Source organism: Homo sapiens, chromosome 11 (genome assembly GCF_000001405.40).
Source record: "Homo sapiens chromosome 11, GRCh38.p14 Primary Assembly".
Taxonomy (NCBI): Eukaryota; Metazoa; Chordata; class Mammalia; order Primates; family Hominidae; genus Homo; species Homo sapiens.
This window is the reverse complement of record NC_000011.10, coordinates 62,956,329-62,974,040: the sequence shown is the minus strand read 5'-3', so window position 1 is coordinate 62,974,040 and position 17,712 is coordinate 62,956,329. Positions and strand designations below refer to the sequence as shown.

General features: G+C 44.5%; 1 annotated feature.

Annotated features, from left to right (window-relative positions):
- Nucleotides 15,010-15,304: a silencer, noted in NCBI's record as "tiled region #15118; HepG2 Repressive non-DNase unmatched - State 24:Quies". NCBI's record gives its function as "represses a minimal TATA promoter and a strong SV40 promoter by Sharpr-MPRA in HepG2 cells {active_cell/tissue: HepG2}" and the evidence as "EXISTENCE:reporter gene assay evidence [ECO:0000049][PMID:27701403]".

Genomic DNA, 17,712 nt, shown 5'->3' with positions numbered 1-17,712 from the left:
CACTGCACCTGGCCTATCTCCAGTTTTGACCACAGGTCCTATCCTCAGCCAGCTTGGCAGGGCCTTGTAGCCACCCTCAGTTTCCTGGCCAGGATGGCACACTCAGGAGGATCCTCAACTGCCTGGTCCTGTAGAGTGCCACATTCTCAGGGCTCCATGCCATCATCCCAGGTCCCACCTTGACAGCCCCAGTTTCACACCACTCCAAGCCCCTCCCTTAGGCTCTTCTCTCCCCTTTCCTGGGAGTTTGCATGACCCATTTGGGTCACATATAGAGCAGATGCCCAAATAGCTAAATTTCATATCATGTGGGAAGCTGAATAATGGTCCCCAAATATGCCCACATCCTAATCTCTGGAACCTGTATGTTACCTTACATGGTAAAAGCGATTTTGCAGTTGTGATTAAACTAAGGATTTTGAGATCAGGGGTGGGTTATCCTGGATTATCTGGGTGGACCCGATGTGGTCACAACAGTACTTATAGGAGAAAGGCAGGAGATCAGAGTGGGTAGTAGATGAGACAACAGAAGCAAGAGGGTGGAGTGAAGCAAGAAAGGACCAAAAAGAATTTTTAAAAAACACATTCAAGTCAAAACAGAGACCATAAACCTCAATTCATTCAATAACTTATCATTCAAACCACTAAGTAAACGCATTTGGTGTTGTCAAAAAAAAAAAAAAAAAAAAAGAAGGAACCACCAGCCAAAGAATGCAAATGGCCTCTAAAAGGCAAGGAAATGGATTCTCCCCTAAAGCCTGCAGAAGAAACGCAGCTGGGTCGACATATTGATTTTTTTTTCTTTTTTTTTTTTTTTTGAGGCGGAGTCTCACTCTGTCACCCAGGCCGGAGTGCAGGGGCGCAATCTCGGCTCACTGCAACCTCCACCTCCTGGGTTCAAGCAATTCTCCTGCCTCAGCCTCCCGAGTAGCTGGGATTACAGGCACGTATCACCATGCCCAGCTACTTTTTGTATTTTTTGTAGAAATGGGGTTTCGCCATGTTGGCCAGGCTGCCTTCCGAGTTCAAGTGATTCTCCCACCTCAGCCTCCCAAATAGCTGGGACTACAGGCGTGCACCATCATGCCCCGCTAATTTTTGTATTTTTAGTAGAGACAGGGTTTCACCATGTTGGACAGGCTGGTCTCGAACTCCTGACCCTAGGTGATCCGCCTGCCTTGCCCTCCCAAACTGCTAGAATTACAGGCGTGAGCTACCACGCCCTGCTGACATATTGATTTTAGACATCTGGCCTCCAGAATTACAAGAGAACAAATCTGTACTGTTTTAAGCCACTAAATTTGTGGCAGTTTGTTAACAACAGCAATATGAAACTGATATGCATCCCTTGTTCTTAGATTCCTCCAGGGAGGCCTCTGGAGATTTTCTTTTTCCCATGCACTATAATTTTTGTAGGGATGGGTTGTAATGTCTGGATCATCACAGGCCTCACCTCTTCCTACTGTCTTATAGCTTGTCGGATTCACAGAGTCTAAATTAGCCACTAGCCCTTGTAGACACTTAAGTTTGGGACTCCTAGACTGCTCTGTGCTACACTCCCACCACTACCATTCCTTGTGTTTAAAAATTGTGAAAGGAAAATTGTGTCATAGGTGCAGGAAGCAAAAGGAAAACACTGACTGGGTAGACTCCATTGCCCCACTGCACCTCCTCTTTCAAGAAAACCATTTGGATGTTCTCTGAGATGTGACTGTCTCCATGTGGTTCATGTCATAGTCATAGAACAGCGGAAGACTCTACTGCAAAAATGCTGTAGTAATGACCGGGTGCGGTGGCTCATGCCTGTAATCCCAGCACTTTGGGAAGTTGAGGCAGGCGAATCACCTGAGGTCAGAAGTTCAAGACCATCCTGGCCAACGTGGTGAAACCCCATCTCTACTAAAAGTACAAAAATTAGCTGGGTGTGGTGGTGGTTGCCTGTAATCTCAGCTACTCAGGAGGCTGAGGCAGGAGAAGCTTGAACCTGGGAGGTGAAGGTTGCAGTGAGCCGAGATCGTGCCACTGCACTCCAGCCTGGGCAACAAGAGCGAGACTCCTCTCAAAAAAAAAAATTCTGCAGTAATAAGCTAGATGAACTTGAGGCTCAGTTCCCTGACCCATTCTAGTGAGGTCTGCTCCTCCTAAACCCCTCCCCCGATAGAATCCTGCACCCCAGTAGCAATAGTAAGTGCCATGTGAACCACACCCATAGAAGAGACCAAGCAGCCTGTAAGGGCTGAATGTAGGGTTTAGATGTAGGTGGCGGACAACGTTGAGTCTGGATGGATGTCCAGAACTGTGGCAGCCATCCTGTAACCCAGAGGGAAACCGGAGCATGGACTAAGGCAACCAATGAGGATATTGTAATGGAAAGATGGAACTAATCTGGGGTTTGATGATTTAACCCCACCAATTTAATCAATACTGGCACCACCTACCTCTGCTCTGATTGTTAAGGGTAACAATTTAAGTCCTCCTTATACTTTAAGCCGGTGTGAGTTCGTTTTTCTATGATTTGTGGTCAAAGATATCTTATATTTTTACAGCTTTATTGAAATACAACAGACAGATAATTAGTTGCTCAGGTGGTGGTGGTGTTGGTATTGTTGAGACAGGCTCTCGCTCTTGGCCCCAGGCTGGAGTGCAGTGGTGAGATCACAGCTCACTGCAGCCTTAACCTTCTGGGCTCAAGCAATTATCCCATGTCAGCCTCCTGAACAGCTGGGACTACAGGCAAGGGCCACCACTCCTAGCTAATGTTTGTATTTTTTTGAAGAGACAGGGTCTCCCTATGATGCCCAGGCAGAGTCGCTCATATTTACAGTGTAAAATCGGATGAGTTTCAACACATGCATACATCCATGAAACCATCACTACAATCAAGACAATGAACATATCCATCACCACCAAAAGTTTTCTCATGCTCCTTCTAGACATAGGTTTCTACTTCTCTTGAACCAGATTCTCTTGCCCAGATTAGTTTCATCTTTCCATTATATTATCCTTAAATATCAAGGAGTGGAATGGCTGAGTACTATGTAACGTGTATGTTTAACTTTTTAAGAAACAGCCAAACAGCCGGGTTTGGTGGCTCATGCCTATAATCCCAGTAACTCAAGAGGCTGACGCAGGAGGACCCCTTGACCCCAAGAGTTCAAGACCAGCCTGGACAACATAGCAAGACCCTGTCTCTAAAAAATAAAAATAAATAAACAATTTTAAACCATGTTTTTAGTAGAGACAGGGTCTCGCCATGTTACCCAGGCTGATGTCAAACTCCTGGCCCCAAGTGCTGGGGTTGTAGGCATGAGCTAACACACCAGCCAAAATTTTACAAAAAGAAATAGCCAAACAATTTTCTTAACATTTTATATTCCCACCAGCTGTATATGAGAGATCCAGTTGTTCCACATCTTTGTCAAAACTTGGTATGATTGCTTTTTTTGTTGTTGTTTTTTGAGATGGAGTCTCTCTCCGTAGCCCAGGCTGGAGTGCAGTGGTGCGATCTCTGCTCACTGCAACCTCCACCTCTTGGATTCAAGCAATTCTCCTGCCTCAGCCTCCTGAGTAGCTGGGATTACAGGTGCGCACCACCACACCCAGCTAATTTTTTTGTATTTTTAATAGAGATGAGGTTTTGCCGTGTTGGCCAGGCTGATCTCGAACTCCTGACCTCAAATGATCCACCTGCCTCAGCCTCTCAAAGTGCTGGGATTACAGGCATGAGTCACCATGCCTGGTCTGACTGCTGTTTTTAACTTAAGCCATTCTAGTGAATGTGTACTGGTATCTTATTGTAGTTTTAATTTACATTTCTCTGAAGACTAATGATCTAAAGCAACTGTTCACTTGCTTATTTCCATCTAGACCTCTTCTTTGGTGAGGTGTCTGTTAAAAAAATTGCACATTTTAAAATTTTGATTGTTTGTTTCATATTGTTGAGTTGGAAACTTTTTATATATTTCAAAAACAAGCCCCTTGCCAGATATGTGTTTTGCAAACGTTTTCTCCATGTTTACAGCTTGCCTTTTCAGTTTTATAACAGTGACTTCAAAGAACAAAGTTTTTAAACTGTGATGAAGTCCAGTTTACTGATTTTATAGTTAATGCTTTTTGAGTCTTATTTTTTTTTAATCTTTGCCAAACCCAAGGACACTGAATTTTTCTCCTTTTTTTAATAGAAGTTTTATAGTTTTAACTTTTATATTTAGGGTCTATGATCCAATCTGAGTTATTTCTGTAAATAACATGAGGTAAACAGATTGTGGTTCATTGCTTTTTGCATATGGATATCCAATTGTTCCAGCACCATTTGTTGAAAGATTTTCTTTTCCTCATTGAATTGTCTAAACATCTTGGTTAGAGATCAGTTGGCTACATACGTATGGCTCTATTTCTGAACTCTATTTTGTTCCATTGATCTATTTGTCTTTACATAAATCCCACACTGTCATAATTGATGTAACTTTGTAGTTAGCCTTGAACTCAGACGGTGTAGATTCTCTAACTTTGTTCAACTTTTTCAAAGTTGTTTTGGCTAGTCTGGATGCTTTGCATTTCCATATAAAATTTAAAATCAACTTGTACATTTCTACCAAGAAAACTTCTGTGATTTTTATTTGTATTATGTTGAATCATAAATCATCTTGGGAAAAACTGACGTCTTAATAATATTGAGTGTCCCAATCCATGATATAGTTCTCCATTTATCTAGGTCTTCGCAATGATGTTTTGTATTTTCATTGTGTAGGTTTTGTACATCTTTTGTCAAATTTATCCCTACAGATTTCATATTTTTATACTATGTTAAAAGAAAAACTTCAGACAAAATAAATGTAACAGATTTTATTTGAGCATTAAAGCATTAATGAATGGGGCAGCACTCAAAATCAGAAGAGGTTCATGTAGCTGCACTTAAGCACTACAAGCAGATCTTCATAGTCTGAACACAGAAGTAAAGAAATAAATTGGCTACAGGTAGGCATTTGTTTTGTTTTGTTTTCTTTGTAGACACAGGGTTTCACCATCTTGACCAGGCTGGTCTCGAGCCCCTGGCTTCAAGTGACTCCCCTACCTTGGCCTCCCAAAGTGCTGAGATTACAGGCATGAGCCACCATGCTCAGCCACTATTTGTCTTATTTGGGTATGATCTGGTGGAAAGTTCCTAGTTATATAACTAACGGCTAACTGGCTATTTGTGATTGGCTGAAGCTTGGTATCTGGTTTGGTTTTGGTTTTTCAAAATTAATTAGTTACAAAGAATGCCACTAGGTTAAGTTTCAGTTTGCTTGTATAAGGGTTCTGGATACAGAAACAATTCCAGGTTAATAACTTCCTGCTTATTTTGCTTTAACAGCTATTATGAATGGTATTCTTATTTCAATTACCAATTGTTTGTTGCTAGTATATAGAAATACCACTGGTTTTTTAATATATCCTACTTGCATCCTGAAAACTCACTAAAATCACTTATTAGTCTCAATAGCTGTTTTGTAGATTCCTCAGGATCTTTGGTACAATCATGCTGTTTGCAAATAAAGGTATATTTTTTTTTCTTCCTTTCTGGAATTATTTTATTTCTTTTTGTTGCTTTATTACATTGCCTAGAATCTCCAGTACACTGTTAAATAAAAGTGGTGAGAGTGAATATCTTTGTCTCTGAACTTAGGGGAAAAACATTGTCTTTCACAATTTAGTATAACGTTACCTATATTTTTTCCATAGTTGTCTTTTATCAATTATTTTTTGAGATGGGATCCTTCTGTGTTGCCCAGGCTGGTCTTGAACTCCTGGGCTCAAGGGATCCTCTTTCCTCAACCTCCTGAGTAGCTGGGACTACAGGCATGTACCACCACACCCAGCTTATCTATTTTGAGAAGTTCCCTTTATGCCTAGTTTGCTGAGAAGTTTTATCATGAATGGATATTGAGTGTTATCGAATGCTTTTTCTGCATCTATTGAGATGATTATATGGTTTTTCTTTTTTAGTCTATTAGTATGGTGAATTATATTAACTGATTTTTTTAATGTTAAACAAATCTTGCATTTCTGGAATAAACCCCACTTGGTCAAGAAGTATTATCCTTTTTATAATTTTTGTTAAATTTGATAAAATTATATTAAGAATTTTACATCTATGTTCATGAGAGATACCTGTCTCTAGTTTCCCTTTTTGTAATGTTTTGTCTGGTTTTAGTATCAGGGTAATTTCGGCCTCATAGAATGAGTTGTGAAGTCTTTCCTACTTTTCACCTTTCTGTAGGTGTTTGTGTAGAGTTGGTATTATTTCTTCCTTAAATGTTTGACAGAATTAATCAGTTAAGTCATCTGTTCCTGGAATCTTCTTTGTGGGGTGGTTTTTAAGTATAAATTTAATTTCATTTAACATTTCTTGTAGTGCAGAAATGTTGCTGCTGTGTTTTTTCAACTTTTGTATGCCTGAAAAGGCACTGATTCTATTATCATTTTTGAAAGATATTTTTACTGGTAGAGGGTTTTAGGTTGACAGATTTTCTCTTTCAGCTTTTAAAGGTATTTCTCCATTGTCTTCTGGCTTACATCACTTTTGACAAGAAATCTGCTGCTATTCTTATATTTTTTGCTTTACATGAATGTGTCTTTTTTTCCTCCAGCTGTTTGCAAGCAGGATTTTATCTTTATCCCTGGTTCTAAGCATTTGATTATGATGCACCTTGCAGTTTTTATAACATCATCATATCCGAGTTAATTTACCTTCTTGGATCTGGGACCTATAGTTTTTATTTTGAACTTTTTTGTTTGTTAGGTTGGTTTGTTGTTTTGTTTGTTAGGTTGGTTGAGACAGTGTCTTCCCCAGGCTGGAGTGCAGTGGCACAATCTTGGCTCACTGCAACCTCTGCCTCCTAGGTTCAAGTGATTCTCCTGCCTCAGCTTCCCAAGTAGCTGGGACTACAGGCGTGCACCACCACACCCAGCTAATTTTTGTATTTTTCAGTAGAGACGGCTTTCACTATATATCGGCCAGGCTAGTCTCGAACTCCTGACCTCAGGTGATCTGCCCTCCTAGGCCTCCCAAAGTACTGGGATTACAGGCGTGAGCCATCACACCCGGCCTATTTTTGAACTTTTTTCTGGGTCACAATAAGTTACTTTTCAAGGCTTGCTTTTAGGTTTTGTTAGGTGAGAGCAGAGATGCTGCTAATTTTTCCTCTCAAGTGATCTTTCTGAGTTCTCTACCCAGTGCCCTGAATGCTATGAGTTTTATCTTCACTGTGGCTGGTGGGAAGATAAACTGTTCCTGGCCTGTGTGAACTCTGTGAATCATCTAGGTTCTTTCACCAAATGTATGCATCAACCACTACTCACCTGAAGATTCTATTAATAACAAAACCCCCTACAAATCTCCAGTGTTCTATGCAGCTCTCTCCTCTCCAGTCCTCTGCCCTGTGAACTCTTGCCACCTGGGTCTCCCCAGACTCCCAACTTTGTTTCCTCAACCCAGGGAGACTTCTGGGCTCTAAGTAGATCCCCTCTCCCTGTTCTGCAGCCTGCAAATTTTCTCCAGGAAGTAAACTGGTTCATAAGGCTCATTCTGTTTGCTTGCCTCTCTCAGGAACAACTGTTCTGAACTGCTTATTGTCCAATGTCTAAAAACAGTTATCATACAAACCTAATTTGTCAGGTTTTTTTATTAGTTAAAGGCAGGAGAGCATTTACTATTTACTAATCCCTGTTCCTCCATCTTGGTTGGAAGCAGAATCCTAACAACTGATATATTATTGTAGTCTCATGACTTCTTGCCGAATACATTTCCATAAACAGAAATGATTGAAGACATTAAAGACAATATTTTCTTATTTCTATGCATAGCATAACGACGGCATTGCAACATAACTAAAGAAGAAGACATCACTCAGAAATCCTTCACTTGGTTCCAGCTGTCAGAGGCATTCAAACCAGAGCAACTCCATCTTTAATAGGGGCTAGGTCAAATAAGGCTGAGACCTACTGGGTCGCATTCCCAGAAGGTTAGGCATTCTTAATCACAGGATGAGATAGAAGTTCGGCAGGATTGGTAGCACAAGATACAGGTCATAAAGACCCTGCTGATAAAATAGGATGCAGTAAAGAAGCCCACCAAAACCCACCAAAGCCCAGATGGCAATGAAAGTGACCTCTGGTCATCCTCACTGTCCATTATATGCTAACTAACTATAATGCATTAGGACGCTGAAAGACACTCCCACCAGCACCATCACAGTTTACAAATGCCATGGCAACATCCAGACGGTACCCTATATAGTCCAAAAAGGGGAGGAACCCTCAGTTCTGGGAATTGCCTGCCCCTTTCCTAGAAAACTCATGAGTAATCCACCCCTTGTTTAGCATATAATCAAGAAATAACCCTAAAAATAGCCAACCAGTAGCCCTCAGGGCTGCTCTGCCTGTGGAGTAGCCATTCATTTGTTTGCTTATTTCTCTAATAAAATTGCTTTCACTTTATCCTATGAACTCACCTGAAATTCTTTCTTATGTAAGGTCCAAGAACGCTCTTTTGGAGTCTGGATCAGGACCCCTTTCCAGTAACACAGCTACGTGGAGGATGAGGTGGCAGGATGGCTTGAGCTCAGGAGGTCAAGGCTTCAGTGAGTTGTGATCATGCCACTGCACTCCAGCCTGGGTGATAGAGTGAGACCCTGTCTCAAAAAAAGAAAATGCATCTCTTCTGCACCACGTATGGAACCAATTGAGAGACACAGCTGTCAAATACCTTACCATGTGGCCAAAAACAATAAAAAGCACATGCTCTCTGAAGGTAAAAAGGGCCCAAAAGAAAAGAAGAAGAAAGTAGCTATACATGCTCTATTCCTTCTCCCAGATTCACCAATCAAATAACCCACTCCTTATTCCATAAGGAAACAAGAAGCCAGAAGAATGGAAGTTTCTCCCTCTACTCGCTACCCAGCATCCCCCTTTAGAGAGGAAGAAAGACACTTTCAATTATACAAGGAACACTGTTGTTTTAAATGCATTCAGAATGGAAAAGGAAAAGTTCCAGTCATCAGGAAATAATAAACTTCCAAAACAACTCTCCCATTGTAAAAAAAAAAAAAACTAGAAAACTGGGCCCAGCACGGTGGCTCATGCCTGTAATCCCAGCACTTTAGGAGGCCAAGGCAGGCGGATCATGTGGTCAGGAGTTCGAGACCAGCCTGGCCAACATAGTGAAACCCCATCTCTACTAAAAATAAAAAATAAAAATAAAAAAATTAGCCGGGTGTGGTGGCAGGCACCTGTAATCCCAGCTACTTGGGAGGCTGAGGCAAGGAGAATCGCTTGAACCCAGGGGGCAGAGGTTGCAGTGAGCCGGGATCATGCCACTGCACTCCAGCCTGGCAACAGAGTGAGACTCCATCTCAAAAAAAAAAAAAAAAAAAAATCCTAGAAAACTGAAGGAAATGTGAAAAATAACAATGTTCAGACATTGGACAACAGGCAGCGCAGGACTGTAATTTCTGTGAGAAGGGAAACAGATTATTTAAGGCCTACTATTAGGTTGATGCAAAAGTAATTGTGGTTTTTGTCATTACCTTTAATTGCAAAACCTGCAATTACTTTTGCACCAACTTTTATCACCCAGGCCTTCTTCCTGGGAGCAACTTCTGGACTGCAGTGTGGAGATGTGGAATCCAAACAGAGCCAGCAACCTCACTGAGCTGAGGAGAATAAAAGAGAAGTTCAGGATGGCCAAGGCAGCTAGATTTCTCAGGAGAGGAGAGAGCTATGCAAACAAATCTGCAGAATATAAAAAGTACTCCTACAACTCAATAAAAAGAAGTCAAACACCCCAATTCAAACATAGGCAAAAAAAAATTACACATACGCTTCACCACGGTAGATATATGAATAGCCAATAAGCACATGAAAAAATGCTCAACATCATTAGTCATCAGGAAAATGCAAGTTAGACCACAATGAGATGTCCCTTCATATTCATATAAATGGCTAAAATGAAAAGACTGGACATATCAAGATGTCGGCAAGAATGTGGAATAACTGGAACTCTCATCCATTGCTGGTAGAAATGTAAAATTTGGAAACACTTTGGAAAACAATTTGACAGTTTCTGATAAAGTTAAATATATGACCTAGTAATTCCACTTCTAGGTATTTACCCAAGAGATATGAAAGTACATGTCCCCTCACTATACACAAATGTTCATGGCAGCTTTCTTTATAATAGCCAAAAACTGGAAACAACACAAATGTTCATCAACAGGTGAATGAATAAGCAAACTGTGGTTATACACATAATGGAATACTATTCAGTATTAAAAAGGAATGGGGCCAGGCGCGGTGGCTCACGACTGTAATCCCAGCACTTTGGGAGGCCGAGATGGGCGGATCATGAGGTCAAGAGATTGAGACCATCCTGGCCAACATGGTGAAACCCCGTCTCTACTAAAAATACAAAAATTAGCTGGGCTTGGTGGCGCACACCTGTAGTCTCAGCTACTCGGGAGGCTGAGGCAGGAGAATCTCTTGAACCCGGGAGGTGGAGGTTGCAGTGAGTGGAGATCACGCCACTACACTCCAGCCTGGCAACAGAGTGAGACTGCATCTCAAAAAAAAAAAAAGGAATGAACTACTGGCACACTACAAGGTGGATGAATCTCAAAAACATTTTGCTGAGCAAAAGAAGCCAGACACAAAAGAGGATATACTGTATGATATCATTCATTTGAAACTCCAGAAAAGACAAATCCATTGCCTAGGGTAGAAGATGAGACTTGGCTAGGATACAGTACTAGGGAATTGCTGGGGTGGGAGAGGCAGGAGATGAAAATGTTCTATATAGTGGTTACATGGTATAAAAATTTATCAGAGCTGCCTGTAATCACAGCACTTTGGGAGGCCGAGGCAGGTGAATCACCTGAGGTCAGGAGCTTGAGACCAGCCTGGCCAACATGGTGAAACCCCGTCTCTACTAAAAATACAAAAATTAGCCGGGCGTCGTAGTTCACACCTGTAGTACCAGCTACTCAGGAGGCTGAAGCATGAGTATCTCTTGAACCCAGGAGGCGGACGTTGCAGTGAGCTGAGATGGCACCAATGCACTCCAGCCTGGGCAACACAACGAGACTCTGTCTTTAAAAAAAAAAAAAATTGTCAGAGCTTGTAAAAATGTACCCCCAAAATTGATGCATTTTATTGCATATACTAAACCCTAATAAAGTTTTATTCAGGTGCATGAACCATGTTCAACTAATCAGTACTCCCACCTAGGGCCTTGACTCTTGCGATAGAACACAAAGCTGCAGGAACATTTGGGAAATGACACACAATAGCAATGACTGTGAGAGTCCAGGGAGGAGTGGAAATCTCCAGGGAATACTCCAGTGGCATCCTAGCCAAACTGTTTCCTGGCCTCCCTCAGCTCCTGCCCATTTCTGAGCCAGATTCTCATCAATTCCGTGAGCAGCCCATTATCCTTCCAGTGATTTTTCTACAGCTTACATTAGCCACAGTCTGTTTTTGTTGTTTACACCCAACAACCCTGACTAATACAGCCATTCTATCACTCAGCCTAAGAGGCTTCCCTGGCTTCAGTTTCCCTGTGCTTCTGGGTTATGGCTCTTTTTTTTTTTTTTTTTTTTTTTTTTTGAGACGGAGTTTTGCTCTAGTTGCCCAGGCTGGAGTGCAATGGCGCGATCTCAGCTCACCACAACCTCCACCTCCCAGGTTCAAGCAATTCTCCTGCCTCAGCCTCCCAAGTAGTTGGGATTATAGGCATGGGCCACCACGCCTGGCTAATTTTGTATTTTTAGTAGAGACGAGGTTTCTCCATGTTGGTCAGGCTGGTCTCAAACTCCCGACCTCAGGTGATCCACCCACCTCGGCCTCCCAAAATGCTGGGATTACAGGCATGAGCCATTGCGCCGGACTTTTTTTTTTTTTTTTTTTTTGAGAGGGAGTCTCCACTGTTGCCCAGGTTGGAGTGCAGTGGCACCATCTCAGCTCACTGCAACCTCTGCCTCCTGAGTTCAAGCAATTCTCCTGCCTCAGCCTTCTAAGTAGCTGGGATTACAGGTGCCCGCCACCACGCCCGGCTAATTTTTTGTATTTTTAGTAGAGACAGGGTTTCACTATGTTGGCCAGGCTGGTCTCGAACTCCTGACCTCGTGATCCACCCACCTCGGCCTCCCAAAGTGCTGGGATTACAGGCGTGAGCCACCGCGCCCAGCCCAGGTTATGGCTCTTATGATGGAAGTATTAGCCAGGACTCTTTCAGATGTAAGTGACACAAAACTAACTGGCTTAAGCCCCCGCTCCAAAAAGAAAAAAAGCAGATAGCAGATTTGCTGGCTTCCATGATTCAGGCACCTGACATCATCATGGATCCAGGTTCTTTTCAACCCTCTCCTCAGCAGGTCAACAACTCCCCTCATGACAGCAAGAGGGCTGCAGTGGCTACAGGCATCACCCCCTCACACAGCATCCAAAGGCAGAAAAGGAAGTTACTCCTCACATATCTGTTTGGAAGAGCAAGACATCTCTTTTGAAGACCTTTCCCAAAAGCCACCTCCCCCACAATGGGCTTCCTGCCACATTTCTTGGCTAGAATTGTGTTACATTACAGATATAAGTGACAGCCTTGGGCTGCCATAACAAAATACCACGGCTGGGTGGCTTAACAACAGAAATTTATTTTCTCACAGCTCTGGAGGCTAGAAGTCCACAATCAAGCTGTCATCAGGTTTGGTTTCTCCTGAGGCCTCTCTTTGGCTTGCAGATGGCCGCCTTCCCACCATGTCCTCACATGGCCCTTCCTCTGGGCACGTGCGTCCCACCCTGCTGTCTCTCTCTCCTCTTGTAAGGACACCAGTCACACTGGATTAGGGCCCCACCCCATGACCTCATTTAACCTTCATTACCTCCTTAAAGGTCCTATTTCCAAATATAGTCACACTGGGGGTTAGGGCTTCAACATATGAATGAGGGGGACACAATTCAGTCCATAACAGGGGCCAAGATGTCAGAACACCTGGATTCGCCTGGGCCCTGTGCATGGTGCAGACCCCAGTATGCCCAGACCCTTGAAGAATGTTAAAGCACCTGATGGCTGTTTATCACGTCACATACACTGGTACAATTCTGGAAAGGGGAAAAAAATTGGGGGTGAACTACAGAAGATATTATGAGAAAAGAGACCCTACTGACACAAACTTCTAACAAAGAATTCCTCCTTCAAGTGAAGGTTGAGCTGTGTCCTGGCCCTCGTCTAGGGCCGAAGGCCCAGGCTCCGGGATTCACGCAGAGGTGATGCTCACAGGTTAAGGGATGCCAAAGCCCACGTACCACGGCATTTCTGCATGGGCTCTTCAGAGTCTCCCCAGTTCAGTCTGGCTGAGAGTGAGGTAGGACCTGGCCCTGAGAAAGGAGAGCTCAGCTCAGGCTTCATGCTCACACCAGCTTGGGCCCCCCTTCACACTTGGTGCTTTCCCTTCCTCCCCACCTGTTCCAGTGTAGTGAAGAGACTCAAACATGTCCCTCCTTCACAGGAAGGTACTTTCCTCTGCCAAATCCAACTTTACTTGCCCATTTGACCTCCTGGAACAAACCATTGACCTGATGAGTCTTATAATTAAATATCTGACTCTTGAGTCAGTTTAACTTGGTGCTTTAAAAGAAGTTATAAAAACTACTGGGCCAGGCACGGTGGCTCACGCCCGTCATCCCAGCACTTTGGGAGGCCGAGCCAGGCGGATCACCTGAGGTCAGGATTTCGAGACCAGCCTGGCCAACGTGGTGAAACCCCGTCTCTACTAAGAATACAAAAATTAGCCAGGCATGGTGGCAGGCACCTGTAAATCCCAGCTACTTGGGAGGCTGAGACAGGAGAATCACTTGAACCCAGGAGGCGGAGGTTGCAGTGAGCCAAGATCATGCCATTGCACTCCAGCCTGCGTGACAAGAGTGAAACTCCATCCCAAAAAAAAAAAACAAAACAAAAAACAAAACAAACAAACAAAAACAAACTACTGCTGGCCATTAGGAGGCCTAGGGCTACAGCAGACCCAGGAACTGATAAGTGCAGGAGACAAAGGCAGCCCCTCTCCTCCCCTCTCCTCCTCCTCCACTGGAAGAAAGGAAACAGGTTGCTTGATTTGCAGACCCAGCCCCCAGCCACTTGACCAGGCCTAGTTCCATGGCCTTCAATGACCTCATGCAGAAAATGGGGGGTGTCAGCTACTTCCAGCAGATCCAAGTCACCCTGGTGGTCCTCCCAGTGCTCCTCCTGTGTTTGCACACCACTCTGCAAAACTTCACTGCCACTGCCTCTCCCCACCCAACCCCTGCTGCCCCCACCTGCCAACGCCAACCTCAGCAAGGACAGGTGGCTGGAGGCTTGGCTGCCCCAAGACTGGCAGGTGTGGCCTCAGTCCTGCCTCCACTTCACCTCCTCCCAGTGGGGACCACCTTTTCCTAATGACACAGATGCCAACAACATGGGGCCACAGAGCCCTGCACCAATGGCTGGATTTATGACAACAGCACTTTCCCAATGACCACTGTGACTGAAATGAGGATAGCTGGGCCCTCTGCCCCCTTCCAACCCCTGTGCCCTCATCTTACCATCCCACCTACAGACGCAGACTGTGCAACCTTGACCCAACTTTGTCTGAATTTGGGAAGACCCTGGAGCTTCGAAAAGTTTTACCCAGAACGGAGCTAGGGAGCTTCCTGGCAGAGAAGACATGGAGTCCTTGCATAGAGCTGCTCCCTGCCTCCCAGCCCCCACCAGAGAGAGACACTGCTACAGGAATTGAATGGTCTACTTCATTTTCTCAAAATGTCAAAAAACCCTGAGGGATAAAACAATCCCATAAGGTGAAGAGGTGATACAGAGAAAGGGAGAGAGGAGGAGTGCAGGTGGTGAGGGCAAAGGGGACATTCCTGAGCAGGGAATTCTGGACTCAGAGTCTTAGAAACAGAAACAGTTTGCTGACTTCATCTAGAAATAGATCTTAGCAGCTGGGGCCAGGAGATGGAGAGCAGCCAAGGAACTAAGACGGGAAAGAGAAGATGGTTATGGGGCGGGGTTGGCGGGGGGAGGGTCCTTTCATCTCTAGTGATTTAATGCCCCTCCCCGTAAACATACACACACACACACACGTGCAATTGTAGTCACCCTGGCCTGCTGAGTGGTTCATCAGGCTGCATTCTGTACTTAGTAGCTGTCACATTGATCATGTTCTTAACATCTGTTCTAGTCAATGGTCTTTTGGTCATAAAGAAGAGAAACCCCGTCGAATCAGCTCTTGGGAAAAGAGGGCATGACTGCAAGGATACAGAGATTACAGGGAATTCAAGAACAGGAAACAAAGTGTGTTCAGGCCTCAGGGAAACTGAAACCAGGAAATGGAGCACGAGAGGCATCTCTGTACACTGACTCCATTCCTCTCTCCTACTTAAATCCATTTCATCTGTGTGCTCTTCTTAAGGGATGACTACCAGTCCCAGCTCTGATTCATTATTTCTCAGATTTAGAGCCCATCAGCAACCAGAAGATTTCTCTGTATCTTAATTCACATTCCTAGAACAGGCTCTGATTGGCTTAGTGCCTCATATTGATGCGCCTCCCCCTCCCCACTTAAGTCAGGTGTCCACACTTCACCTTATCAGTGTGCCAACGGGGAGTGCAGTGAGATTTTGCCGGCCCATTGTCCATTAGTCACAGCCGTGCAAAGAAAAGATGCCCTTGGTTGGGTGCAGTGGGTCACACCTGTAATCCCAGCACTTTGAGAGGCCGAGGCAGGCGGATCACCTGAGGTCGGGAGTTCGAGACCAGCCTGACCAACATGGAGAAACCCCATCTCTACTAAAAATATAAAATTAGCCAGGCGTGGTGGCGCATGCCTGTAATCCCAGCTACTCGGGAGGCAGAAGCAGGAGAATCACTTGAACCCAGGAGGCGGAGGTTGCAGTGAGCCGAGATCGCACCATTGCACTAGAGCCTAGGCAACAAGAGCGAAACTTCGTCCCAAAAAAAAGAAGAAAGAGGCTGGGCGCGGTGGCTCACGCCTGTAATCCCAGCACTTTCGGAGGCCGAGGCGGTTGGATCACGAGGTCAGGAGATTAAGACCATCCTGGCTAACACGGTGAAACCCCGTCTCTACTAAAAATACAAAAAATTAGCCGGGTGTGGTGGCAGGCGCCTGTAGTCCCAGCTACTCGGGAGGCTGAGGCAGGAGAATGGTGTGAACCCAGGAGGCCGAGCTTGCAGTGAGCCGAGATCGCGCCACTGCACTCCAGCCTGGGAGAAAGAGCGAGACTCCGTCTCAAAAAAAAAAAAAGAAGAAAGAAAAGATTCCCTGAGAAGGGCTGCAGTCAGGCATAGCCCCACCAAACCTGCCTCATGCAGCAACTCTCTGAAACTGGTAAAAGTAGTTAAGCAATATTCCTACTAGAAAGACCCAAGACACAGAAGCAGAAGGTAACCAATATGGCTAGTCTTCCTCTGATGCATGTAGGCATCATATGCAATCCCCTCCATGCATAGTTATGGACACTTTCTTCATTATTTGCTAGCCTCAACCCAAGTTCTTAGATATCCTTGTCCACCACCTTAACTTGTATGTTATCCTCCCAATTCAGCTTCCCTATTTCGCTTCTGAAACTCTACTCTCTGTGTTCCAAAGCCAACAATACTCCAGGAACTATCAACCTACCTGTTGCTCTTCTGTTCAAAACAGCAGGCAGTTCCATCCAAAAGCCTAGATTCCTTGCTGTCCAGAGAACCTGGGTGAGTGAGCATCTTGGATTTCCTTCTAAATGGGGACTCGGTAGTAATCTCCTTACCATCAGGTTATCTCAATAGGCACTGTGGATGGGACCATCATCCACTACCACATATGGGCATGGGGCACTAAAAGGCCTATTTTATGAGCACAGCCAAGATGCCTCTTCCTTGGGCCAATAATGTCAAAGCCTATGGCTGCATCAGGAGAACATCTCATTAGGAGGATGGTTAGCTTGCATGCATAACCTAAGGTGAAGCTGGATTGTTAAGCAAATGAAATGGCTCATAAGCCAACAGGGGTTACTTAAGAACAAGACATTCAGGCTGGGCACAGTGGCTCACACCTATAATCCTAGCACTTTGGGAGGCCAAGGCGGGTGAACTGCCTGGGCTCAGGAGTTCGAGACCAGCCTGGGCAACATGGTGAAACCCTGTCTCTACTAAAATACAAAAAATTAGCCTGGTGTGGCGGTGTGTGCCTGTAATCCCAGCTACTCGGGAGGCTGAGGCAGGAGAATCACTTGAACCTGGGAGGCAGAGGTTGCAGTGAGCCAAGATCGCACCATTGCACTCCAGCCTGGGCAACTATAGCAAGACTCCATCTCAACCAAAAAAAAAAGACATTTTATCATTTCATTGCAATGAAGACACCCCTGCCCCAAGGCAATGTGGCTATAACTGGTAAGCACAATACAGGTAGGTCACCAGAGAAAGACAAGCCCCAGGATGCCCCTCAGGAGGAACTCCTGAAGAACCCAGTCTCCCAAAGGGATACTTCAGCACTCTGAATGCAAAGCAAAAAATTAATAAATATACATGCAGGTCATGGGTTTTAATAAAAAGGCTAGCCAGGTGTAATGGCTTACTTACATAATCCCAGCACTCCGGGAGGTTGAGGTGGGAGGATCGCTTGAGCCCAGGAGTTTGAG